Genomic DNA, 25234 nt, shown 5'->3' with positions numbered 1-25234 from the left:
GGCATCCTGTGTGGGGAGGGCACCTGCCATGGGCCAGAAGGTCCCAGCGGGGCCCAGGGGACTGAAAGGCAGGGGCAGGCATGGCCTGGGCCAGTCCCCACCCAGGACCACTGGGCTCAGGCTCTTGCCACGGCTCAGCCCTGGTGGGAAGGGTCAGCCCTGGGGCACTCATGTCCTGCCTGGTCCAAGCCATCTCCTCAGAGGCCCCAAGGCTTCCCTCTCCCCCTACTTCCTGCAGGGGCCTTTCCTGTTTCTCCTGTCCCACCTGGAGGGAGACGTGAGCCTGTCCCAGCAGCCTCATGTGTGTGTGGTGGTGAGAGCCAGGCTGGTGTGTGGTGGGAGCAGGAAGGCCCCGGAGGCCTCATAAGGGGACATGAGCACTGTGGGGAGAGTCCCCCAGGCCTGCCCCTCCTGGCTGCGTGACCATCCACAAGTCCCCCCAACCAGCCTCAGGTTCCACACCTATACAATGGGAGTTGTGGCTCCTGCCTCCTGTATGCGAAGGGCTCAGCCTTCGAAGAGCCGAAGAGCCCCGGGGTGGGAAGGTGACTTCAGGGGCACACACAATGAGATTTCGTAATTGCATGTTAATTCTACTACAATTACCAACACCGGGCATCTCTTCATCTCTATCTCTACCTATCATCAATATCTATCATCTATCATGTATATACCATCTATATCCGTCATCATTGTCATCAACATCAATCATCTATCTATCTATTCATCTATGTGCCCACCTACCAATCTATTATTTATCCACATGAAACTAGTGACGTCACAGCTTAGGATGAAACTCAACAGGTATTTAGCCTTAACAAGTGAGTTATTAAAGGAAAGTATTACGCCAAGTGCATGCCTGTAATCCCAGAACCTTGGGAGGCCATGGCAAGGGGATCCCTTGAGACCCCAGGAGTTGGAGACCCGCTTGGGGAACACAGCAAGTCCCCATCTCTACAAAAAATACAAAAATTGGCCAGGTGTAGTGGCTCATGCCTATAATCCCACCACTTTGGGAGGCCGAGGCGGGTGGATCACCTGAGGTCGGGAGTTTGAGACCAGCCTGACCAACATGGAGAAACCCCGTCTCTACTAAAAATACAAAATTAGCCAGGCATGGTGGCACACACCTGTAATCCCAGCTACTCGGGAGGCTGAGGCAGGAGAATCGCTTAAACCCGGGAGGTGGAGGTTGTGGTGAGCCGAGATCATGCCATTGCACTCCAGCCTGGGCAACAAGAGCGAAACTCCAAACCAAAAAAAAAATTTTTTTTTAATTAACCAGATATGGTGGCTCACACCTGTGGTCCTACCTGCTCAGGAGGCTGAGGCAGCAGGACTGCTTGAGCCCAGGAGGTGGAGCAATTATCATGCCACTGCTCTCCAGCCTGAACAGAGAGAGGCCCCTGTCTCGAATGAATGAATGAATGAATTGATGAATAAAAGTATTAGGTCTGCAGTGGCACAGACAGGAGAGCAGAGACGGGAAGCTGGACTTGGGAATGGCTGCCTGGGTTTGAGCCTTAGCTCTGCCACTCTCTGTGCGCGGCAAGGCCCTGAGCTCTGGGGACCTCTGTGAAACAGGAAAATGAGTGCCTTCAGCATATCTTTCTGCCTCAATGAGTTACTTCAGATGACAGCATGCCTAGACAATGGCTGGCACTTGATTTTTTTTTTTTTTTTGGAAACGGAGTCTGGCTCTGTCACCCAGGCTGGAGTGCAGTGGTGTGATCTCGGCTCACTGCAACCTCTGCCTCCCGGGTTCACGCCATTCTCCTGCCTCAGCCTCCCGAGTAGCTGGGACTACAGGCGCCCGCCACCACGCCCAGCTAATTTTTTATATTTTTAGTAGAGACGGGGTTTCACCATGTTAGTCAGGATGGTCTCGATCTCCTGACCTTTTGATCCGCCCGCCTCGGCCTCCCAAAGTGCTGGGATTACAGGCATGAACCACCACGCCCAGTCTTTTTTTTTTTTTTTTTTTTTTTTAGACAGAGTCTCACTCTGTTGCCCAGGCTGGAGTGCAGTGGTGCAATCTTGGCTCACAGCAGCCTCTGCCTCCCAGGTTCAAGCGATTCTCCTCCCTCAGCCTCCCGAGTAGCTGAGATTACAGGCACCCATCACCACTCCCGGCTAATTTGGTATTTTTAGGAGATATGGGGTTTCTCCATGTTGGCCAGGCTGGTCTCGAACTCTTGACCTCAGGTGATCCGCCTGCCTCAGCCTCCCAAAGTGCTGGGATTACAGGTGTGAGCCACCACCCCTCACTAATTTCTTTATTTATTTATTTATTTTTTTGAGACAGAGTCCTGCTCTGTTGCCCAGGCTGGAGTGAAGTAGCACAATCTTGGCTCACTGCAACCTCCACCTCCCGGGTTCAAGCAATTCTCGTGCCTCAGCCACCTGAGTAGCTGGGATTATAGGTGTGCGCCACCACACCCGGCTAATTTTTAAATTTTTTGTAGAGACGGGGTTTCACCCTGTTGGCCAGGCTGGCCTCGAACTCCTAATCTCAGGTGATCTGCCCACCTTGGCCTCCCAAAGTGCTGGGATTACAGGCATGAGCCACCGCACCCGGCCTGGCACTTGTTATAATGCTACTGTATAATTCCCACAGGTCTTGCCTCCTAAGGTTTTATAAATGGGGAAACTGAGGCTGGGGTGGGGGCAGGAAGTCAGCAGAAGGGTGGGGCCCGGAGAGAGGAGGGCCCAGCAACCCCCGCTGCCCTCCAGCGCTGGGGAGGCATCTGAGGGCAGACCACGGCGCCCCCGCTCCAGGTGACACAATGGCGGCCCAGTCTCCAGCTGTGCGGCTTCCTTCCTGTCTCCACTCACTTCCCCGCCTGCATCCACAGCCCAGCTGGCAGGAGCCCCTTCCTGCTGCCTCTTCGCCTCTTCGAGAGGCCTGGCCTTTGTGTCCACCGGGAGGGGCTGAGGACAGCTGGGAGACATGCACTGACAAGCCCTGGCCCTGGGCGGGACTGGGGCGTGGGGAAGTGGGGACCCACACAGCGGGACCTGGATCTGTGCTCAGGCCTGCCCGCTCCTGGTCCTGGGGTCTCTGAGCCCGGCAGGGAAGATGTCCGGCTTGGCCTGCCAGGGCCTTGCCTTGAGACCCAAGCTGCCTGCTCACCCTCTCTGGGCCTCAGTTTCCCTGCAAACAAAAGCCTCCCTCCCCGCAAAGCTCTGCCTCCCCAACAGCCATGCAAGGTGAGAGTGTGCAAAAGTGTGAGATGACAGGCTCTTTTCTTATTGTGGGGTGGCTGAGGCTGGGGACGACCCGGGGACCAGGCCTGCACCTTCTCCCAAGAACTTGGCAAGGTGTGGAGTGTGAGGCTCATTTTACAGACGTACAAACAGGCTCGGGGAGACTGAGTGACTCACTCAGGGTTGCTCAGCAAGTGAGAGTTGGAGCTGGCCCTTCACTCCAGTTTGCAAACCAGACCACAGGGGCCCCAGACCCTGAAGCAATGTTGATCCTCAGTCTCCCCATCCATAAAATGGGGTGCAGGGAGCTATGGTCTCCACGCATCCTGCTGGAGGAGCTGCTGCCCTTCCTATCACACCTTCCATGGCTCCCACCGCCCTCAGCACAAAGCGCAGCTTCCTTTCTGATCTGGCCTCAGCCCAGAGCTGCAGCCCCAGTGGCCCATTCCCCCACCTGCCCCTTCAGCTCAGAAGACACCTCCTCTGGGAAGCCTTCCCTCACCTCCTGCTGGGCTCTTGCAGCCCTGGCTTTCATTGAGGCCCTTCCCTCCCATCACACTGCCTCATCTGGATGCCAGGGACCAGGTCCTACCCCAGCCCCCAGGCTGGCCCAGAGCACATTCCACTTGAACTCTTTTTAGGACAGCCAGCTCACTACCTCCCCAGAGCAGCCCATCGCTCTGCTGACCAGAAGCAAATTCCAGAGCTGACTTAAATCTGCTCCTCCCCTGTGTCATGGCAGAGGCCCCTTAGAAAGTGCCCACACACTCCTTGACGCCTCCAGAGACCAAAAGGCATCAGGAGGGTGTTGTCTCCAGCTAAAGCGGCTGCGGAAGGTCGAGCAGGGCAGCCCCTGCCCCCGGCGCGCTAAGCCGCGTCTCTGGGAGAACCTGTCTCCCCTTCAGTTCTCTGTCTGGAGTTGGGGTGAGATTCAGGCAGATGCCCTGGGCTGGGCCTGTCCAGGGAAACACAGCTGCCCGGGTAAGGAGGCTGCAGCCCCTGGAGGGTCAGGTCCACAGGCCTCCTAACGACACGTGCCGGCCAAAAGCTCCAGGCTCTCTGCGGGGTCAAGGAGCGACTCAAATGCTCACAGGGCCAGGAGGGCAAACGTGCCTAAGTGAGGCAGGCGGACACAGGGCAATAGGGGTTGGTGGGGTCTGTGCCTAACAGAAACACACACTGCCCCCACCCCCATCCTGCCCAGCTCCTTCCAACCATGCACAGGGACCTGTGGACCCAGAGCAGGCAGATCTTCTGAATTTAAAACATCTGAGGTTCAAGTGCTGTCTGCTATCTCTGTTTTGAAACACCTGCCACTATGGTGAGACTTAAAGAAGGTATCGGCTGCAGGCAAAGCTGCCCCCAGGAGTGCCTGGCCTGAAACTTCTGCTTGCTTTCTTCTCTCCTTCTCTCCCCTCCCCTCTTCCCTTTTTTCCTTCGTTCTTTCCTTCCTTCCTTCTCTTTCTTTTCTCTCTCTCTCTCTTTCTTTCTTTCCTTCTTTCTTTCTTCTTTCCCTTCCTCCCTCTCTCCCTGCCCTCTTTCTTTCTTTCTTTCTTTCTTTCCTTCTTTCTTTCCTTCTTTCTTTCTTTTCTTTCTTTCTTTCTTGAGACACAGTCTTGCTCTGTCACCCAGGCTGGAGTGCAGTGGCGCAATCTCAGCTCACTGCAACTTCCGCCTCCCAGGTTCAAGTAATTCTCCTGCCTCAGCCTCCTGAGTAGCCAGGATTACAGGCGCACACCACCATGCCCGGCTAATTTTTGTATTTTTATTAGAGACGGGGTCTTACTATGTTGGCCAGGCTGGTCTCAAACTCCTGACCTCAGGTGATCCACCCACCTTGGCCTCCCAAAGTGCTGGGATTACAGGCATGAGCCACCACGCCCAGCTAATTTTTGTTTTTAGTAGAGACGGGATTTCACCATGTTGCCCAGGCTGGTCTCGAGCTCCTGGGCTCAAGTGATCCACCCTCCTCAGCCTCCCAAAGTGCTGGGATTACAGGCGTGAGCCACCGCGCCCGGCCGAAACCTCTGCTTTAAAACCAACTTCTCCCCTGTTCTGGCCTCTGCTCTGTTCCTCCCTCTCCACCAGGACAGAGGTTGGTGGTCTCCCCAGGGTGGGGGGATGCCCTGCTGATCCCTCCCCACGGGAGCCCTCTCAGGGCCCCGTGAGGAACAGACCGGCCAGCAGAGGGCACTCCCGACATGGCCTCAACCCAAAGCCAGGGAGCAAAGCTCCTTTACCAGCATGGGGCAGGTGGACCCGCACTCCCAGCTCAGGGCAAGCAGGTGGACCCGCATTCCCAGCTCGGGGCAGGTGGACCCGCATTCCCAGCTCGGGGCAGGTGGACCCGCATTTCCAGCTCGGGGCAGGCGGACCCGCATTCCTGAATCCACAGTTTTGGTTTCCACAAGAGGACAGCCTGGGCCTGAGTCCAGGGGCTGAGAGGAGGAGAACCAGGGAGGGGAGCTGGCCCAGCCTGTCCCGTTTGCTGCAGAGCCCAGAGCTCGGCTCCGAGCTGAATGGTGGGAGAAGAAACCTTGCGTGGACCTGAGTGAATCACAGTCTCAGTTTCCCCTTCTGTAAGATGGGTGGCTGTGAGGAGGGGCACGTACAGGGCCGGGCAAGTGCAGTAGGATATGGTCCACGTGGGTCCACCTGCCTCCATCCCCACCAAGGAAGTGAGTGGTCCACCAGCCCCAGGAAGTCTCAGCCTGGCCTGCTGCAGCTGCCAGTGCCCCCCACACCCCCATCGCGGCCGGGACTCCTGTGCCTCACTCACCTGCTTCCTGCAGGTTCAGTGACAGCTGTCCTGCCTCTCTCTGTGGCCAATGTCAGTGCAGGGATGACACGGATTTTCCTGCAGCTCAGCCAGCCTGGGCTCCTGGGAGGCCGACATGGGCTCAGCACCACCCAGGCAGGGCTGGGGACCCATCAGGGCCATATGTGTAGGGGGTGACCATGAAGCCCCAGGGTGGTTCCTCCCTTCTGAGAGCAGAGGATGGGGCCAGGTGCGGTGGATGTGCCTGTAGTCCCAGCACCTTGGAAGGCCGAGGCATGAGGATCGCTTGAGGTCAGGAGTTCGAGACCAGCCTGGCCAACATGGTGAAACCATGTCTCTACTAAAAATACAAAAAAATTAGCCAGGCATGGTGGCACACGTCTGTAATCTCAGCTACTCAGGAGGCTGAGGCAGGAGATTCGCTTGAACCCGGGAGGCGGAGGTTGCAGTGAGCCAAGATTGTGCCATTGCACTCCAGCCTGGGTGACAGAGTGAGACTCCATCTCAAAAAACAACAACAAACAACAATAAAAAGGCAAGGGCAGAACAAGGCCAAGACCCGTCTGCTGCCAAGGCCTGCCTCACTGGTGGGACAGAGAAGAGACGTGCAGATGCTTGACTGCTGACTGACTGCCTCTGGAAGGATTTGGAAAACCTGGCTTCAGAGGCTGCCCCTGAATAGGGGACCGAGAGCTGGGGGTGCTATGGTAGGCCAGGGTGCACTTTTAAAATCCACAAACATTTTCCCCAACATTTTATTATGAAAATTTTCAAACACATAGAAAAGTTGAAATAGGCCAGGTACAGTGGCCCACACCTGTAATCCCAGCACTTTGGGAGGCTGAGGTGGGAGGATTGCTTGAGCCCAGGAGTTCAAGACCAACCTGGGCAACATGGTGAGACCTCGTCTCTATAAAAATAAAAATAAAAAAATTAGCTGGGCATGGTGGCATGTGCCTGTAGTTCCAGCTACCTGGGAGGCTGAGGCGGGAGGACGGAGGCAGCAGTGAGCTGTTAACTGCCCTGCTGCACTCCAGCCTGGGTGACAGAGCAAGACCCTGTCTCAAAAGAAAAGAAAAGTTGAAATATTTTTCAGCCAGCACCCACATACCCACCCCCTGGATTCAACGTGAAGGTTTTACTGCAGTTGCCCCACACATTACCTACCTATCTTGGGTTTCATGCTTTTTTTTTTTTTTTTTTTTTAATTTATGACAGTTTTGCTCTTGTCACCCAGGCTAGAGTGCAGTGGTGCAATCTCAGCTCACTGCACCTCCGCCTCCTGGGTTCAAGCAATTCTCCTGCCTTAGCCTCCCAAGTAGCTGGGATTACAGGTGCACGCCACCAAGCCCAGCTAATTTTTTTTTTTTTTTGTATTGTTAGTAGAGACAGGTTTTCACCATGTTGGCCAGGCTGGTCTCGAACTCCTGATCTCAGGTGATCTGCCCGCCTCGGCCTCCCAAATTGCTGGGATTACAGGCATGAGCCAATATTCATTGCATTTTTCCATGTGTACCTACAATACTGTGAAACTTTGTTACATTGCAGGCTCATTTAAGAAATCACAAAAAAAGAAAAAGAAATCATCCGAGTTTCCGTTTGGGATGATGAAAAAGTTTTGGTAATGGGGCGATGGTTGCACAATATCGTGAACGTAATCAATGCCACTGAATTGTACGCTTAAAAATGGTTACAGTGGCAAATTGTTCGTTACACGTATTTTTTTTTTTTTTTGTAGAGACAGAGTCTTGTTCTGTTGCCCACACTGGAGTGCAGTGGCTCAACCACAGCTCACTGCAGCCTTGAATTCCTGGGCTCAAGTGATCCTCCTGCCTCAGCCTTCCAAAGTGCTGGGATTATAGGCATGAGCCACTGTATTCGGCTTGTTATGTGTATTTTACCACACACATACAAGAAAGTTTAGGCCAGCCATGGTGGTTCATGCCTGAACTCCCAGCACTTAGGGAGGCAGATGCGGGAGGATCGCTTGAGCCCAGGAGTTCAAGACCAGCCGGGGCAACATGGTGAGACCCCATTCTCCACAAAAAGGAAAAAAAAATGGCAATACAGCATGCCCAAAATGATGGAATTTTACCTTTAATGAATGAATTGCATGGTATGTGAATTGCATCTCAAAAAATCTGTTTGTCTTTTTTTCTTAAATATCATAGGCAGTGGTGGGCAGGGGTTCTCGCTGCCCGGGAAATGGTCTCGGAGCTGGAGCTGTTCTGTCGGGTGCAGCGGTGGACGCGTGACTCCTTGCATTTTTCAAAACCCATGCAAGTCCACAGCACAAAGAATGAACTTCGCTGTATGCAAATTTTTTTAAATGAGCCAGGATGTCAGGGGAACCCAGGAGGAACGCGGCCTGTGACAACGGACTCTAATTGAATTACAAATGTGTGACATCACTCAGGGAGAGGGAGTGGGGGAGAGGCTGCTCTCAATGATTTTGGACAACACTGTTTTGTCTACATCCTGAAGCTCAGGACAAAACCAACTGTGTACAAACACTGGACTCTAGTTAGTAGGTTTGGTTCTCCCAGGGGTACATCTTAGCAATTCTGAAACAACGAACACTGGGATTGAACAAATAAGTAAGTTGTGCATCATGGGAGCCAGGCGTCTCCTGGTCAGAACAAGAAGTGAAAAATCAGCACAGATAAACCCATGGGGCTGGGAAGGCTGCGTCTCCATGCACAAGAAAAGACACTGGACCCTCACTTTACACCAGCGGTCCCCAGCCTTTTTAGCACCCAGGACTGGTTTCGTGAAAGACAGTTTTTCCACTGACCAGAGGGTAGATGGTTTTGGGATGATTCAAGCACATCTCATTTATTGTGATGTGCTTTTATTTTTTATTTTATTTCTATTATATTAGTTGAAATGGAGTCTCTCTCTGTCGCCCAGGCTGCAGTGCAGTGGTCCGATCTCGGCTCACTGCAACCTCTGCCTACCCAGGTTCAAGTGATTCTCCTGCCTCAGCCTCCCAAGTAGCTGGGATTACAGGCGCCCACCACCATGCCCAGCTACTTTTTTTGTATTTTTAGTAGAGACAGGGTTTTACCATGTTGGCCAGGCTGGTCTCAAACTCCTGACCTCAAAAGATCCACCTGCCTTGGCTTCCCAAAGTGCTGGGATTACAGGTGTGAGCCACTGCACCAGGCCTCTAATATTATTTCAAACAGAGTCTTGCTCTGTCACCCAGGCTGGAGTGCAGTGGTGCAATCTCAGCTCACTGCGACATCTGCCTCCCAGGTTCAAGCAATTCTCCTGCCTCAGACTCCTGTGTAGCTGGGATTTCAGGCACACACCATGCCCGGCTAATTTTTGTATTTTTAGTAGAGACGTGGTTTCGCCATGTTGGCCAGGCTGGTCTTAAACTCATGAGATCAAGTGATCCTCCTGCCTTGGCCTCCCAAAGTGCTGGGATTATAGGCGTGAGCCACGGGTGCTTGGCCGAGATAAATTAGACCTCATCAAAATTAAAAACTTTTGTGCATCAAAGGAAACCATCAACCAAGTGAAAAGGCAAGCCACAGAATGGGAGAAAATATTTGCAAATCATATATCTGACATGGGACTAATATACAGAATATATAAAGAACACCTATAACTCAACAGCAACAACAAAAACAACAATCCATGCCTATAATCTCAGCACTTGGGAGGCCGAGGCAAGAGGATCACTTGAGGCCAGGAGTTTGAGACCAACCTGGCCAACATGGTAAAATCTTGTCTTTACTAAACATACAAAAATGAGCCTGGTGTGGTGGCAAGTGTCTGTAGTCCCAGCTACTCCATGGGGCTGAGGCAGAAGAATTGCTTGAATCTGGGAGATGGAGGTTGCAGTGAGCTGAGATCGTGCCACTGCACTCTAGCCTGGGCAGCAAAGCTAGATTCTGTCTCAAACAAACAAACAAACAAAAACAATAAAAACAAAAAACAGTGGACAAAAGGCTGGATGTGCTGGCTCACGCCTGTAATCCTAGCTCTTTGGGAGCCCGAGGCAGGCGGCACTTGAGGTCAGGAGTTTGAGACCAGCCTGGCCAACATGGTGAAACCCCGTCTCTACTATAAATACAAAAATTAGCCAGGCATGATGGCGGGTGCCTATAGTTCCAGCTACTTATGAGGCTGAGACGAGAAGACCGCTTGTGGCCAGGAGTTAAAGACCAGCCTGAGAAACAGTGAGACCCCCCCACCATCTAAAAAAAAAAAAAAAAAAAAAAAAAAGGTTAAAATGGCAAATCTTCTACTGTGTAGATTTTACCCTAAAATAAATCAATACAGATTGGAATGATACCTAAGTGTCATGTAGGATCATGGATTCTTTTATTCTTTTTTTAATTTTTTCTTTTTTTTTTTTTTTTTTTTTGACATGGAGTCTCGCTCTTTCGTCCAGGCTGGAGAGCAGTGGCGTGATCTCAGCTCACTGCAACCTCCGCCTCCCGGGTTCGCACCATTCTCCTGCCTCAGCCTCCCAAGTAGCTGGGACTACAGGCGCCTGCCACCACACCCGGTCTCAATTTTTTGTATTTTTAGTAGAGACAAGGTTTCACCGTGTTAGCCAGGGTGGTCTCGATCTCCTGACCTCATGATCCACCTGCCTCAGTCTCCCAAAGTGCTGGGATTACAGGTGTGAGCCACTGTGCCTGGCCTTTTTAAATTTTTTTGAGACAGGATCTCCCTGTGTCCCCCAGGCTGGAGTGCAGTGGCTCAATCATAACTCACTGCAGCCTTGACCTCCTGGGCTCAAGCAATCCTCCCACCTCAGCCTCCCAAGTAGCTGGGACAACAGGCATGCGCCACCACACCCAGTAAACATTTTTTTTTTTTTTTTTTTTTTGAGACAGAGTCTCGCTCTGTCGCCCAGGCTGGATTGCAGTGGCATGATCTTGGCTCACTGCAAGCTCTGCCTCCCGGGTTCACGCCGTTCTCCTGCCTCAGCCTCCCGAGTAGCTGGGACTACAGGTGCCGGCCGCCACGCCCGGCTAATTTCTTGTATTTTTGATAGAGACAGGGTTTCACCGTGTTAGCCAGGATGGTCTCAATCTCCTGACCTCGTGATCCACCCGCCTCAGCCTCCCAAGTAGCTGGGACCACAGGCATGCGCCACCACACCCAGTAAACATTTTGTTTTTTTTAGAGATGAGGGGGTCTCACTATGTTGCCCAGGCTCGTGTTGAACTCCCAAACTCCATTGATCCTTCTGCCTTAGCCCCCCAAAGTGTTGGGATTACAAGCATGAGCCACCTTGTCCAGCTCCATTGTAACCATTTCTAAAGTGTACGGTTAGTTCAGTGGCATTAAGCACATTCAGAGTGTTGTGTGACTATCACTACCCTTTATCCACAAAACTTTTCACCTTCCCAAACTGAAACCCATCCCCCATAAACATTCACTCCCCATTCCCTCCCCTGCCCCTGTAACCACCATTCTCCTTTCTGTCTCCATAGATTTGACTGTTCTTATATAAGTGGACACATACAGAGTTTGCCCCTTTTGGACCGGCTTATTTCACAGAGTATAACGTCCTCAAGGTTCATCCATGTTGTAGCAGTTGTCAGAATTTCCTTCCTTTTTTATGACTGAATAGTATTCCATTGCATGATAGACCACATTTTATTTATTGCAAAGGCAGTGCAGATGCAGAGTAAACATGTCACATCCCCAGGGCATCTGCATCAAAACTAAGAAAAAGCATTGCTGTAACACTATTAACGAAGCTACAGAATTTATTCCATTTTCTACAGATTTTCCACTGATGTCCTTGAATTCTGCATTTCAGAATCCAGCCCACTGGCTGGGTACTGGGGCTCATGCCTGTAATCTGCGTGCTATGTATCTCCAGACAAAATATTTAGAAAATAAAATCATCATGGAGGGCCGGGCGCGGTGGCTCACACCTATAATCCCAGCACTTTGGGAGGCTGAGGCAGGCAGATCACCTGAGGTCAGGAGTTCGAGACCAGCCTGACCAACATAGTGAAACCCTGTCTCTACTAACAATACAAAATTAGCCGGGTGTGGTGTCACATGCCTGTAATCCCAGCTACTTGGGAGGCTGAGGCAGAAGAATCACTTGAACCCAGGAGTCGGAGGTTGCAGTGAGCCGAGATTGCACCATTGCAGTCCAGCCTGGTTGACAGTGAGACTCCATCTCAAAATAAAATAAAATCATCGGCTAGGCGTAGTGGCTCACGCCTGTAATCCCGGCACTTTGGGAGGCCGAGGCGGGTGGATCATGAGGTCAGGAGATCAAGACCATCCTGGCTAACACAGTGAAACCTCGTCTCTACTAAAAATATAAAAAATTAGCCAGGCGTGGTGGCGAGTGCCTGTAGTCCCAGGTACTCAGGAGGCTGAGGCAGGAGAATGGCGTGAACCCAGGAGGCGGAGCTTACAGTGAGCCGAGATCTCGCCACTGCACTCCAGCCTGGGCGACAGAGAGAGACTCCGTCTCAAAAACAAACAAACAAACAAACAAACAAATAAATAAATAAATAAAATCATGGAGAGGCAGAGGCCCCGTGCTTGGTCCAGTGTCCAGGCACACATGTTCTGGACTGTGCCTGCAGATGAGTGCCCCAGTGGGGGCCACACTCCTTCCACATGGGGACGGTGGGAAACTTCCCTTGCTCTGCCTCAGTTTCCTCTTCTGCAAAATGGAGCAACAACAGTCTCTATAAGCTGGGGCCTGTGGGAGACTGGGGCTGTGCGGAGGATGAAGTTTAATGCGTAGACCTGGGGCTGGGGCACGGCCTCAGCAGTAGCCAAGGGCATCCCATGTACCCAGACGTTGGCCCAGCTCCCGCTCCCTGACAGGTCTCTGTGCCCCTCATCCACTGCGTCATTTCTGCATCTGTCTGGGTCTGCTCTCTGGGGGCACTGGCTGGCCGGAGCTGTCTTTTCAGCACCAGGCAGTGCCTCCGCTTGCCCAGCAAGGCACAGGCGAGGCACCTGAGCCCCAGACATGAGAAGACCCCAGAAGTGAGAAGAGGAGCAGGGTGGGCTGGGGTCCCAGGGGACAGGGGCTGGGGCACTGGGGGACCATGGTGTCTTAGGACAGGGAGGGACCGAGGGAACCAGCGGTTGGGGTGGGGTCGTGGCCTCCACACCACACCTGGGGCAGGGGCCAGATTGGGACAGGAGTGGCCTAGGGGAGGGGGAGTTGGGGCCTTCTTGTCTTGTGGGTACTTCACTGAAGGAGGACCGTGGTCTCTCTGGGGCTGGGAAATGAGAGTCCCTTTCCCTTGCCATCACCCGGCTTGGGTGAGACCCAAAGGCCTCCCCTCTCAAATTCCGTAGCCCCTGGACTGCCAAGCACAGGTAGAGGGACAAAAAGGGCAGCCTTGGCCCACCAGGGACATTGCCCGAGGGAACCCAGTGCCCAGAGTACGGTGCAGCCCCCATCTCGCTGCCCCTGCCAGCTCTCCTCCCCCTGGCCACAGTGCCTGGCCTCCTTACTCTTTTTTATTAAACAAGGTCTTGAGTTTGCAAACATGGGTTTTGCAACCACAATTTTTGGGGGACTCTAACCCCACAGCTGGGGAGGGTTAGTCACTCTGTGCCCTGGCAGAGGCCTCACACTCATGCCCATTTCCCGCCAGTCACGGAGGGATTGGGGGAACTGGGGGTGGGCAAGCCAGTGGCCAGATGGAGCCTCGTCCAGGCTGAGAGGCTGGAGCGGACCCGCTGTGCTCTGGCCAACTGCCTGGAACATCCCAGAACTTGGAGATGGGGTTCACCTCCTTCCAGGGGCACACCAGGCCCTGTCCTTACAGTGGGCACAGAGGGCTGGGGTGTTAAGGAAGGTGCTGCCAATGGGCACAGCGACCAGCTGGGGCTCCCACCCAGACACCACTGCGAATTCAGGACCCCAGAAACAGCTGGGCTGCCCTCTCCTCAACCCCAGACCCTCTCTCCGGCCAGCAGCCGCCGCTATGTGGTGGGCAGTGCCCTCCCACCCGCCAGCCATTCAGAGCCCATCCCTGGGCCCAGTTCCAGCCCCGAGACAAAGCCGGAACCAGGGCCACGGGCCCGGCTGACCCCGGATGGGCAGTTGGCGTGGAGGGCCCCTCACCATGGTTACCGCCACCCACAGCTCTACTCAGAGGTGGGCATTGTTTGGCCGCCAGAGTGTGGCGAGCGCCCAAGAGCCCGAGAGCCTGGCTGGCACGACCGCCCCTGCGTGTCTTTGGCCCCGGACACACAGCAGAGCCGTTTCCCACGCTCTAGGCTCCTGGCAGCCCCAGGAAGGGGAGCGGGCCCTGGCCTTGGAAGAGGGGAAACTGAGGCCTGGAGAAGCACGGAGCTAGGAAGTCGGGGCCAGCAGGAATGAGACAAGGGGAGGGACGCCGGCTGCTGTGAGGAATCACTGGGACCTGGTGATACTGGGACTTGGGTCAGTAATAGGCTCAAGCTGCAGAGGCCGGTGTCCGAGGCACGGCCAACCCCTCCCCAGCCTGTGTGCCGCTCAGATTCTCTCTGGCCTCCAAGCCTTTGCTCCTGCTGGCCACTCCACCCCAAAGCCCTTCCCTCACTTTGATTCCAACACACAAATTTCCCCGTAAGACGTCACCTCCTCCGAAATGCCTTCCTCAGCTCCTCCCCATCCAGTGGGAAGGGCCACAGGTCCTGTTTTGCTTGCCCATTTCCAGACATAGCCCAGCTTCTCTTTGGAGACGTGCTCCTCTCCTGTGCTGTGTGGTCTTGGGGTGCAGAAGATCTCAGGGTCCACCCTCCCATTGCAGAGACTGAAGGGTACCTGGGGGTCTTCTGGAGGGACCCTTCTCACTGCCTGAATCAGCCAAGGATGGGTTGTGTGATGTCTGCTGAGACTCGGGTGTTGAACGAAGGATAAAAGCAGGTCTATTGCTTGTACCGGCCAACCTATGACCCCCACCAGGCCCCAGGGAGGTGGCAGTGGCTCCTCCTTGGAGGTTTCCAGGCCAAACAGCGCCAGGTCCTGGGCTCAGAGAAGAGATGGACGAATGGGGAACCCTTCAGAGGAACAGCCCTGGGGTCAAACCTGCCTCTACTTCCTTCTGGTTGTTGTTTTGTCTTGTTTTGTTTTGTTTTGTTTGAGACAGTCTGGATCTGTATCCCAGGCTGCAGTGCAGTGGTGCAACCTCAGCTCACTGCAACCTCCATCGCCTGGGTTCCAGCAATTCTCCTGCCTCAGCCTCCTGAGTAGCTGGGATTACAGACGCCCACTACCACGCCCGGCTAATTTTTGTATTTTTAGTAGAGATGGGGTTTTGTCATGTTGGCCAGGCTGGTCTTGACCTCCTGAGCTCAAGTGATTTGACTGCCTTGGCCTCCTAAAGTGCTGGGATTACAGGCATGAGTCACGGTGCTCGGCCCTTTTTTTTTTTTAGGTTTTGTTATTTTGTTTTGTTTTGTTTTTGAGATGCAGTCTCGCTGTGTCACCCAGGCTGCAGTGCAGTGGCGTGATCTCGGCTCACTGCAAACTACACCTCCCAGGTTCAAGTGATTCTCCTAACCTTGGCCTGCTGAGTAGCTGGGACTACAGGCCCATGCTACCCCGCCTGGCTAATTTTTGTATGTTTAGTAGAGACAGGGTTTTGCCATGTTAGCCAGGCTGGTCTCAAACTCCTGAGCTCAAGTGATCCACCTGCCTCAGCCTCCCAAAGTGCTGGGATTACCGCTGTGTTATTTTTTACACTATACTGTAGCTATCAGATCTTATTGAGTGTATAATCTTTTTTTTTTTTTTTTTTTTGAGATGGATTCTCGCTCTGTCGTCCAGGCTGGAGTGCAGTGGCACAATCTTGGCTCACTCCAACCTCCACTTCCCAGGTTCAAGTCATTCTCCTGCCTCAGCCTCCAGAGCAGCTGAAACTACAGGTGCCCACCACGACGCCTGGTTAATTTTTGTATTTTTAGTAGAGATGGGGTTTCACCATGTTGGGCAGGCTGGTCTTGAATTTCTGAGCTCAAGTGATCCGCCCACCTTGGCCTCCCAAAGTGCCGAGATTACAGGCATGAGCCACCATGCCCGGCTGATTGTATAATCTTAATCTGTGCCTTAAACTGAGCCTCGGTTTTCTTATCTGTAAAGTTGGTACATACAGGAACCAGTCAGGAATGGTGTGCTGTCAGCAATACAAACACAACAGGAAGGGGCCTGCGTGGCAGGGCTTGTCCACAGGCTCATGTGACATGTGCACAATGGGGGTCTGTGGCAGGTGGGAGCAGTCCTTTCCTCGTGGCAGTGGAGGGGGCAGAGTGCAGACTCAGGGTGGGTGGAGGGAGGATGTGGTGAGGGCTCCCAGCAGGTCTCTTGTGGTTGCTGTAATTTCCTTGGTGAAATAAAAAGTGAGGTCATCTGCCGGGCGCAGTGGCTCACGCCTGTAATCCCAGCACTTTGGGAGGCCGAGGTGGGCGGATCACGAGGTCAGGAGATCGAGACCATCCTGGCTAACACGGTAAAACCCCGTCTCTACCAAAAATGCAAAAAATTAGCCGGGCATGGTGGCGGGCGCCTGTAGTCCCAGCTACTCGGGAGGCTGAGGCAGGATAACGGTGTGAACTCACGAGGCGGAGCTTGCAGTGAGCTGAGATCGCGCCACTGCACTTCAGCCTAGGGGACAGAGCGAGACTCCATCTCAAAGCGAGGTCATCAAATGGGAATGAGGATGGGAAGGAAACAGGTATGTGGGAGCACCCTCAGTTCACCATATTAATTACTACAAGAAGATCCCCCCAGGTAGGGTTGCCATATTTAGAAAAACACAAACAGGATGTACAATTAAATTTGAATTTCAGATAAATAATAATTCACTTTTTCAATATAAGTATATCCCATGGCCAGCTGGGCATGGTGGTGCGTGCCTGTGGTCCCAGCTACTTGGGAGGCTGGGATGGGAGGATCACTTGAACCCAGAAGTTGAGGCTGCGGTGAGCTATGATCATCCCATTGCACTCCGGGCCGGGTGACAGAGCAAGAACTTGTCTTAAAATAAATAAATAATAAAAACATAATCAGAGGCCGGGCACGGTGGCTCACTCCTGTAATCCCAGCACTTTGGGAGGCCAAGGCGGGCAGATCACCTGAGGTCAGGAGTTCTAGGCCAGCCTGGCCAACATGGTGAAACCCCGTTTCTGCTAAAAATACAAAAATTAGCCAGGCATGGTGGTGCACAGCTGCAATCCCAGCTACTTGGGAGGCTGAGGCACGATAATCGCTTGAACCCGGGAGGCAGAGATTGCAGTGAGCCAAGATTGCACCACTGCACTCCAGCCTGAGCGACAGAGCGAGACTCCATCTCAAAAAAAAAAAAAAAAAAAAAAAAAGGACACAATCAGAGCCATCAGTGGCTGCACATCATGGAGGGGACAGAGTTCACAAACTAAGTTGAGGCAAATTACAAAAGAAACAAACAGAAAAATAGCAGCAACATCAGCCCTCAAGGGAGAAAAATAATACTTTAAAGCTGCTACAGTGTGTCATTTAAAATGTCTGGTTTTCCACAAAGTCATTACAAGATATACAAAGAAACACAAATTTATGATCCCTATTCCAAAAACAACTGTCCCTGAGTGTCCTCTGATGTTGACTTTTTCAGACCAAAACTCCAAAGCAGGAAATATAAAGATGTTCTAAGAACTAAAGAAAACTATGTGTAAAGAATGAAAGGAAAGCATATCAACAATGAATCAGCAAATAGAGATACTCAATAAAGAAACGAAATATAAAAAATGTGACCCCATGGATTATATTTAAAAAGTGAAAAAAAAATTATAAAAAAGAAACACATGGATATTCTGGAGTTGACAAGTATAATTGAAATGAAAAAAAAAAAATCACTAGAGGGGCAGATGTCGCATGACAGAAAAAAGAAACAATGAACTTGACCACAGATCAATGAATAGAAATTATCCAATCTGGGCCAGGTGCAGTGGCTCACTCCTGTAATCCCAGCACTTTGGGAGGCCGAGACGGGCAGATCACTAGGTCAGGAGTTCAAGAGCAGCCTGGCCAACATGGTGAAACCCCATTTGTACTAAAACTACAAAAATTAGCTGGGCATGGTGGCTCACGCCTGTAATCCCAGCCACTTGGGAGACTGAGGCAGGAGAATCGGAGGCAGAGGTCGCAGTAAGCTGAGATCGTGCCATTGCACTCTAGCCTGGGCGACAAAAGCAAAACTCCATCTCAAAAAAAAAAAAAAATTATCCAATCTGAAGAACGGAGAAAAAAAATTTGAAGAAAAATGAAAAGGGCCTCAGAGACTTGTGAGACAATATGAACTGTGCCAACATGCATGTAATGGCAGTCCCAGGAGAGAAAAAGGGGCAGAAAAAGTATTTGAAGACAAAAATGGCCAGACATTTCCCAAATTTGATTAAAACAACATTCATCTACAAATTGAAGAAGCTCAGTCAACTCAAAGTAGGATAAATACAAAGAGATCTAAAACTAGACTCCATCTCAAAAAAAAAGTAATAAAAAAAAGAGAGAGAGAGAACATACAAATGATCAAATTCAGGAATTAAAGAGCGTATGTCACGGACCCTGCAGAAACTAAAAGGCTTCTTAGAGAATATTATGAATGCTTTATACCAACAAAGTAAAATACTTAGATGAAATGGATGAATTCCTATAAAGGCACAAACTTTAAAAAGTGACTTAAGAAGAAACCAAAAATTGGAAAAGATCTGTAACAACGAAAGACATTGAACTAGTCATTTAAAATCTTCTCGGCCGGGCGCGGTGGCTCATGCCTGTAATCTCAGCATTTTGGGAGGCCGAGGCGGGCGGATCACAAGGTCAGGAGATGGAGACCATCCTGGCTAGGACGGTGAAACCTCGTCTCTACTAAAACTACAAAAAATTAGCCGGGCGTGGTGGCGGGCGCCTGTGGTCCCAGCTACTCGGGAGGCTGAGGCAGGAGAATCGCTTGAACTCAGGAGGTGGAGGTACAGTGAGCCAAGATTGCGCCACTGCACTCTAGCCTGGGCGACAGAGCAAAACTCCATATCAAAAAAAAAAAAAATCTTCTCACAAATGAAAGTTCAACCCAGATAGATTCACTGGTAAATTCTACCAAGTACTGAAAGAGAAATAATGCCAAATCTTTCGTAGAATAAAAGAGGAGGAAGCGTTTCCTACCTCACTCTGTGAAGCCGGTACTATCCTTCCACCAAGGTCAGAAAATGATGCAACAAGAAAAGTACAGAGGACTAGCCTCATGAACATAGACACAAAAATCTTTAACAAAAGATTACAAACCGAATCAGCAGCATATACAGATGATCACACGGCCGGGCGCGGTGGCTCACGCCTGTAATCCCAGCACTTTGGGAGGCCAAGGTGGGCGGATCACGAGGTCAGGAGATCGAGACCATCCTGGCTAACACGATGAAACCCAGTCTCTACTAAAAATACAAAAATTAGCCGGGTGTGGTGGCTGGCGCCTGTAATCCCAGCTACTGGGGAGGCTGAGGCAGAAGAATGGTGTGAACCCGGGAGGCGGAGCTTGCAGTGAGCCGAGATCGCGCCACTGCACTCCAGCCTGGGTGAGAGAGCGAGACTCCGTCTCAAAAAAAAAAAAAAGATCACACACGAGGACCAACTGGGATTTACTCCAGGAATGCAAAGTTGGTTTAATATTCAACAATCAATTTCTTTCTTTCTTTTTTTTTTTTTTTTTTTGAGAGATGGGGTTGCCTGTTTCCCAGGCTGGAGTGCAGTGGCGCAATCTCAACTCACTGCAAGCTCTGCCTGCCGGGTTCAAGTAATTCTCCTGCCTCAGCCTCCCGAGTAGCTGGGATTACAGATGCCTGCCACCAAGCCTGGCTAATTTTTCTTTTTTATTTTTAGTAGAGACAGGGTTTCACCGTGTTAGCCAGGATGGTCTTTCGATCTCCTGACCTTGTGATGCACCCACCTCGGCCTCCCAAAGTGCTGGGATTACAGGCGTGAGCCACTGCGCCCAGCCCTCAACAAGCAATTTCTGTAATACATCACATTGATGAAATAAAAGACAAAAACCACATGACCATCTCAATAGCTACAGGAAAAGCACTTGAGAAAATCTAACCCATTTAAGATAGATACGCACAATAAACTAGAAATAGAAGGGAATTTCCTCAGGCTGATAAAGGCATCTATGAAAAATGTACAGCTAATATGTATATTATATATAAAGTATTATATATGAAAATATTTTATATTATATAAAATATATACAATATATTAAAATTTTTGTATTTAATATATATACATTTCTGAAGACAGAGTCTTACTCTGTTGCCCAGGCTGAAGCACAGTGGCACAATCATAGTTCATTGCAGCCTTGACCTCCTGGGCTCAAGGGACCCTCCTGTCTCAGCTTTTCAAGTAGCTGGGACTACAGGTGCACACCACCACACTCAGCTAACTTAAATTTTGTTTGCATTTTTTATGGGATCTTGCTGTGTTGCCCAGGCTGGTCTCAAACTCCTAGGCTCAAGCAATCCTCCTGCCTTGACCTCCCAAAGTGTTGGGATTGCAGGCGTGAGCCACTGTGCCTGGCCCAGCTAAAGTATATAACAGTAAATCCCAGAATATTTTCCCTCTAACAGGGGGACAAAGCGAGTGGGACATCTGATGCGCTACTGTTATTCAGCATTATACTGCAGGCTCTACTCAGTGTGATAAGGAAAAACAAAAATGAAATAAGACAAAACAAAGACATTAAAAGCATCCAGATTGGAAAGGAAAAAGTAAAACTATCTTTATGCACAGATGATGGTCCTGTATATCCTAAGAAATCAACCCCAAAGCTATTAGAACTAATAAAGCTTAGTAAGGTGGCAGGATATAAGATGAATGTATAAAAACAAATTGTAGGCTGGGCCTGGTGGCTCACACCTGTAATCCCAGCACTTTGGGAGGCCGAGACAGGCCAGTCACCTGAGGTCAGGAGTTTGAGACCAGCCTGACCAACATGGTGAAACTCATCTCTACTAAACATACAAAAATTAGCCGGGCGTGGTGGTGGGCACCTGTAATCCCAGCTACTCGGGAGGCTGAGATAGGAGAATCGCTTGAACCCAGGAGGCGGAGGTGGCAGTGAGGCAAGATTGTGCTACTGCACTCCAGCCTGGACAACAAGAATGAAACTCCGTCTCTAAATAAATAAATAGATAAATAAATAAATAAATAAATAGTGTTTTATTTTATATATACTGGCAACAAACATTCTGAAAATAGAAATAAGAGAACAATTTCATTCACAATAGCATAAAGAATAACAAAATACTTAGGAATAAATGTAACAAAAAAAGTGCAAGGCTTATATGCTGAAAAAGACAAAATATTGTTGAGACAAATTAAAAGAGGCTTAAGTAAATGGAGACGGGGCCCATGTTCAAGGATGGATGGGCAGTGCTCCTCGAATTGATCTACATATTCAGCACAATCCCGGCCAGGTGTGGCGGCTCATGCCTGTAATCCCAGCACTTTGGGAGGCTGAGGCAGGAGGAATTCAACCCTAAGACCAGCCTGGACAACACAGTAAAACCCCATTTCTACAAAAAAAAAAAAAAAAAAAAAGTCAGGCCTGGTAGCGCATGCCTATAGTCCTAGCTACTCAGGAGGCTGCAGCAGGAGGATCCCTTGAGCCCGGGAGGTTCTAGGCTGCAGTGGTGCGATCACAGCTCACTGCATCACTACACTCCAGCCTGGGCAACAGAGCAAGACCCTGACAAAGGGACGAGGAGGGGAGGGGAGAGGGAGGGGATGGGGGAGGGGAGGGAGGGAGTGGGGAGGGGGAGAGAAAGGAAGGAAGGAAGAAGGGGGGAAGGGAGGGAGGGAAGGGAGGGAGGAAGGAAGGAAAGAAGAAGGAAAAGAAAGAAGGAAAGAAAAAGGAAGGAAAGGGGAGGGGAGGAGAGGGGAGGGGAGGGGAGGGGAGGGGAGGGGAGGGGAGGGGAGGGGAGGGCAGGGCAGGGCAGGGCAGGGCAGGGCAGGGCAGGGCAGGGCAGGGCCGGGCAGGGGAAACTGGGGAGCCCCCGTGAGGCCGGCCCAGGGCCGGGCAGGGGAAACTGGGGAGCCCCCGTGAGGCCGGCCCCAGCTCTTCACAGCCCTGGGACTGGGTTTTCCGGCTCAGCTGTGTCATTTGCTGAGTGGCCGCTGCTTCCAGCTTCTGACCTGCGGTTGCTGCCTCCTTCCCCCGACAAGTCCTTGTGCCCCCAGAGCCACTGACTGGTGGGAAGAGATGCCACGTTCCTGCCCTTGGGGCCACCTCAGCCCACTGGACTGTGTGTGCTCGGCCACCTGTGGGGGAGGGGCTCAAAGAGTGGCCTCAGCCAGCGTGGTCCTGGCAGCGCGTCTTGGGGCTTCAGGCCTGGGGAGTCGGAGCCACTCAGCTCCTTGAGTCCCCCAGAGGGGCCCAGAGCAGTGACCCAACAGCAAGTGAGTGGTGGAGTCAGTGTGAACTTGGTTCAAACTGGAAACAGGTCGCCCTCACGGACAGTGTTTGGTGGGAGGAAGACAGCTCTGGCCAGCATGGCCAGCATGGTGCTGAGGGCGCTGTGGGGCCCAGCAGACAGGAATCACGAGGGCGTCAGAGCCTGGGTGACCAGGCCCAGCCCTGCCACGGTGCCCCCAGATCACCCAGTGCCCTCCTGGTCCAGCCGCCCAGGGGGCTGAGCAGCCACTTCCTGTGCCCCCCACGGCCTGTCCAGAACCGGGACTGTACAGCCACCCACACAGGGACCGTGTCTCAGAGGCCCGGGAGGGTGGCCTCAGGGCTGGAGGGATGCTCACTCGGGTGGCCTCAGGGCTTTCGGACCCACGGGGGACATTGCATTACCAGGTTCACATGCGCTTTGGCCGGCCACCCCATGCCCTGCGTGCAGCCGCGTTTAGCCAAGGGTGCGCCGCAGGTCGCGTTCCTGAGCCGTGGCTGCCCCCTGGTGGAAGATGCCCAGGGCCCGGCCTGCCCAGCTCCATGCAGCCCCTCCAGGAGCCCTGTGCCAGGCTGCAGGCCCAGGACTCAGAGGTGGATCCACCCGAGGGAGCTCCTCTAAATGGCCCGGCTCACACCTTCCTCGGGCAGGCACAGGTCTCACTGGTTGGGGGGAATAGTTGCGTCAGCCATTCCTGGGGCAGTGGAAGGTCTGGGGGCCACTCCCAGGGCTGCGGGACAGGCTCAGCATTGTGGCCAGAATCAAAGAGGCCCGGAAGCACCCTGCCCGGGACAGAGAGCCAAGATCCTGGAACAGGGCCAGGCGCAGTGGCTCACACCTGCAATCCTACCACTTTGGGAGGCTGAGGCAGGCAGATCACCTGAGATCAGGAGTTCGATACCAGCCTGGCCAACATGGCGAAACCCCATCTCTACTAAAAATACAAAACAGCTGGGCATGGTGGCAGGCGCCTGTAATCCCAGCTACTCAAGAGACTGAGGCAGGAGAATCGCTTGAACCCGGGAGGTGGATGTTGCAGTGAGCCGAGATCGTGCCACTGCACCTCAGCCTGGGTGACAGGGCGAGAGTCTGTCCCCCCAAAGAAAAAACCCACAAGGGGCTGAGCTGCCACCCCTGCGGGGGTCCAGGAGATGCCAGGCCAGGCTGGGGGAAGCTGAGAGCAGCCCACCTCCCCCAAGCCCTGCAGGCTTGGGCTCAGCACCGTGTGGACCTGACGGGAGTTTCCCATGATTCTGGGCTCAAAATGCTGGGTGCCTGGGAGAGGGTGGGGGGCGGTGGGACATACCAGCTTGGATGAGAGCCCTGGGCCCCAGGCGTGCACCTGTGTCCTGCTACAAAGACGGGCAGTGGGGCGGAAGCAGCCACGGGCTGAGACACTGGATGTGTGCAAGTGTGTACGTAGGTGCCTGTGTGCTGTGTATATCAGTGAGGGTGAAATGGGTATTTTCTTCCTGTTCCCCAGGGAGTGGGGGGCCCCGAGGAAATTCGGGTCATGCCGGAGATGAAGAAGCTACACTGTCACGGACGTCCGGGTGGGTCGCGTGTCTGAGACCCCACACAGGAAGGAGCTGGAAGCCTTGGGTGAGGAGGCTACAGCTCCAGGAGCTCCTGCCTGTGCCTGCCTGCCTGGAACGCTCAGAGGCATCCCCCAGCCCTGCAGGGGCCCCTTCCACTGTCCCTCCTCAGCTGGCACCCTTGTGGGAAGGTGTGGAGAGCTGCCACCTCGGCCCCAGGGAGGGAATTCTTTACGCTTTTTTTTTTTTTTCCAGATGGCGTCTCACTCTGTCGCCCAGGCTGGAGTGCAATGGCGCAATCTCGGCTCACGGCAACCTCCAACTCTCGGGTTCAAGCGATTTTCCTGCCTCAGCCTCTTGAGTAGCTGGGATTACGGGCATGTGCCACCACACCCAGCTTATTTTTGTATTTTTAGTAGAGACGGGGTTTCACCTTGTTGGCCAGGCTGGTCTCGAACTCCTGACCGCAGGTGATCCACCCGCCTCAGCCTCCCAAAGTGCTGGGATGACAGGTGTGAGCCACCGCACCCAGCCTGGTTTCTGTAGGGCAATGACCTTGAGACCTCCCCTACACACTGATACAAGGGGGTCAGGGTCTTCCGAGTCCACACTCATCTCTGCATGTGGACTGTGCTCAAGCCCCACTCCACCCACCTGAGGAAAGGACCTCTTTGCTCTCTCTGCTACCCTGGTCACAGCCAGAAGCCAGCGTGAGGCACCAGCCACTGTCTGAGGACACATGAACCTGCACTTCCAGCTGGTCATTGGCCCACGCCTTCCTGTAAGAAAACGACACACAGATGCCCTTGCACCCGTGCACACACAGGTGCACACACAGGTGCACACACGCACACCCCTGAGTCTTGCAGCCAGACTGCACACACAGGGACCCTGTTGCTGTCTCCACACTCCCACCAGACCCAAGCTCAGGGAAGGGCTGGGAAGTGTGACTGCTGCCGGCCCCAGTTCTTTTTTAATATGGGAGGTATCTGGACAATACGGAGCCCGATTCCATTCAAGATGTGACCAGGCCAGGCACGGCAGCTCAGGCCTGTAATCCCAGCACTTTGGGAGGTCAAGGCAGGGGGATTGCTTGAGCCCAGGAGTTTGAGACAAGCCTGGGCAACACAGCAAGACCCTGTCTCCACAAAATATAAATTTAGCCAGGCATAGTGGCAGGCACCTGTGGTCTCAGCTACTCAGGAGGTTGAGGTAGGAGGATGGCTTGAGCCTGGGAGGTGGAGACTACAGTGAGCCATGATCATGCCACTGCACCCCAGCCCTGGGCCAC

The 25234-nt window shown here is 52.6% G+C and overlaps 6 annotated features.

Annotated features, from left to right (window-relative positions):
* Positions 25–570: an enhancer, noted in NCBI's record as "H3K4me1 hESC enhancer chr7:2513557-2514102 (GRCh37/hg19 assembly coordinates)". NCBI's record gives its function as "activates a minimal SCP1, AML or CMV promoter by ChIP-STARR-seq in naive H9 embryonic stem cells {active_cell/tissue: H9 hESC(naive)}" and the evidence as "EXISTENCE:reporter gene assay evidence [ECO:0000049][PMID:30033119]".
* Positions 2797–3400: an enhancer, noted in NCBI's record as "H3K27ac-H3K4me1 hESC enhancer chr7:2510727-2511330 (GRCh37/hg19 assembly coordinates)". NCBI's record gives its function as "activates a minimal SCP1, AML or CMV promoter by ChIP-STARR-seq in primed H9 embryonic stem cells {active_cell/tissue: H9 hESC(primed)}" and the evidence as "EXISTENCE:reporter gene assay evidence [ECO:0000049][PMID:30033119]".
* Positions 21939–22018: a silencer, noted in NCBI's record as "silent region_17872". NCBI's record gives its function as "represses an Ori minimal core promoter by ATAC-STARR-seq in GM12878 lymphoblastoid cells {active_cell/tissue: GM12878}" and the evidence as "EXISTENCE:reporter gene assay evidence [ECO:0000049][PMID:35858748]".
* Positions 21939–22600: a biological region, named in NCBI's record as "H3K27ac-H3K4me1 hESC enhancer GRCh37_chr7:2491527-2492180".
* Positions 21947–22600: an enhancer, noted in NCBI's record as "H3K27ac-H3K4me1 hESC enhancer chr7:2491527-2492180 (GRCh37/hg19 assembly coordinates)". NCBI's record gives its function as "activates a minimal SCP1, AML or CMV promoter by ChIP-STARR-seq in naive H9 embryonic stem cells {active_cell/tissue: H9 hESC(naive)}" and the evidence as "EXISTENCE:reporter gene assay evidence [ECO:0000049][PMID:30033119]".
* Positions 22601–23256: an enhancer, noted in NCBI's record as "H3K27ac-H3K4me1 hESC enhancer chr7:2490871-2491526 (GRCh37/hg19 assembly coordinates)". NCBI's record gives its function as "activates a minimal SCP1, AML or CMV promoter by ChIP-STARR-seq in naive H9 embryonic stem cells {active_cell/tissue: H9 hESC(naive)}" and the evidence as "EXISTENCE:reporter gene assay evidence [ECO:0000049][PMID:30033119]".

Source organism: Homo sapiens, chromosome 7 (genome assembly GCF_000001405.40).
Source record: "Homo sapiens chromosome 7, GRCh38.p14 Primary Assembly".
NCBI lineage: Eukaryota > Metazoa > Chordata > Mammalia > Primates > Hominidae > Homo > Homo sapiens.
The sequence above is the reverse complement of the archived record's forward strand: the minus strand, read 5'-3'. Positions and strand labels throughout refer to the sequence as shown.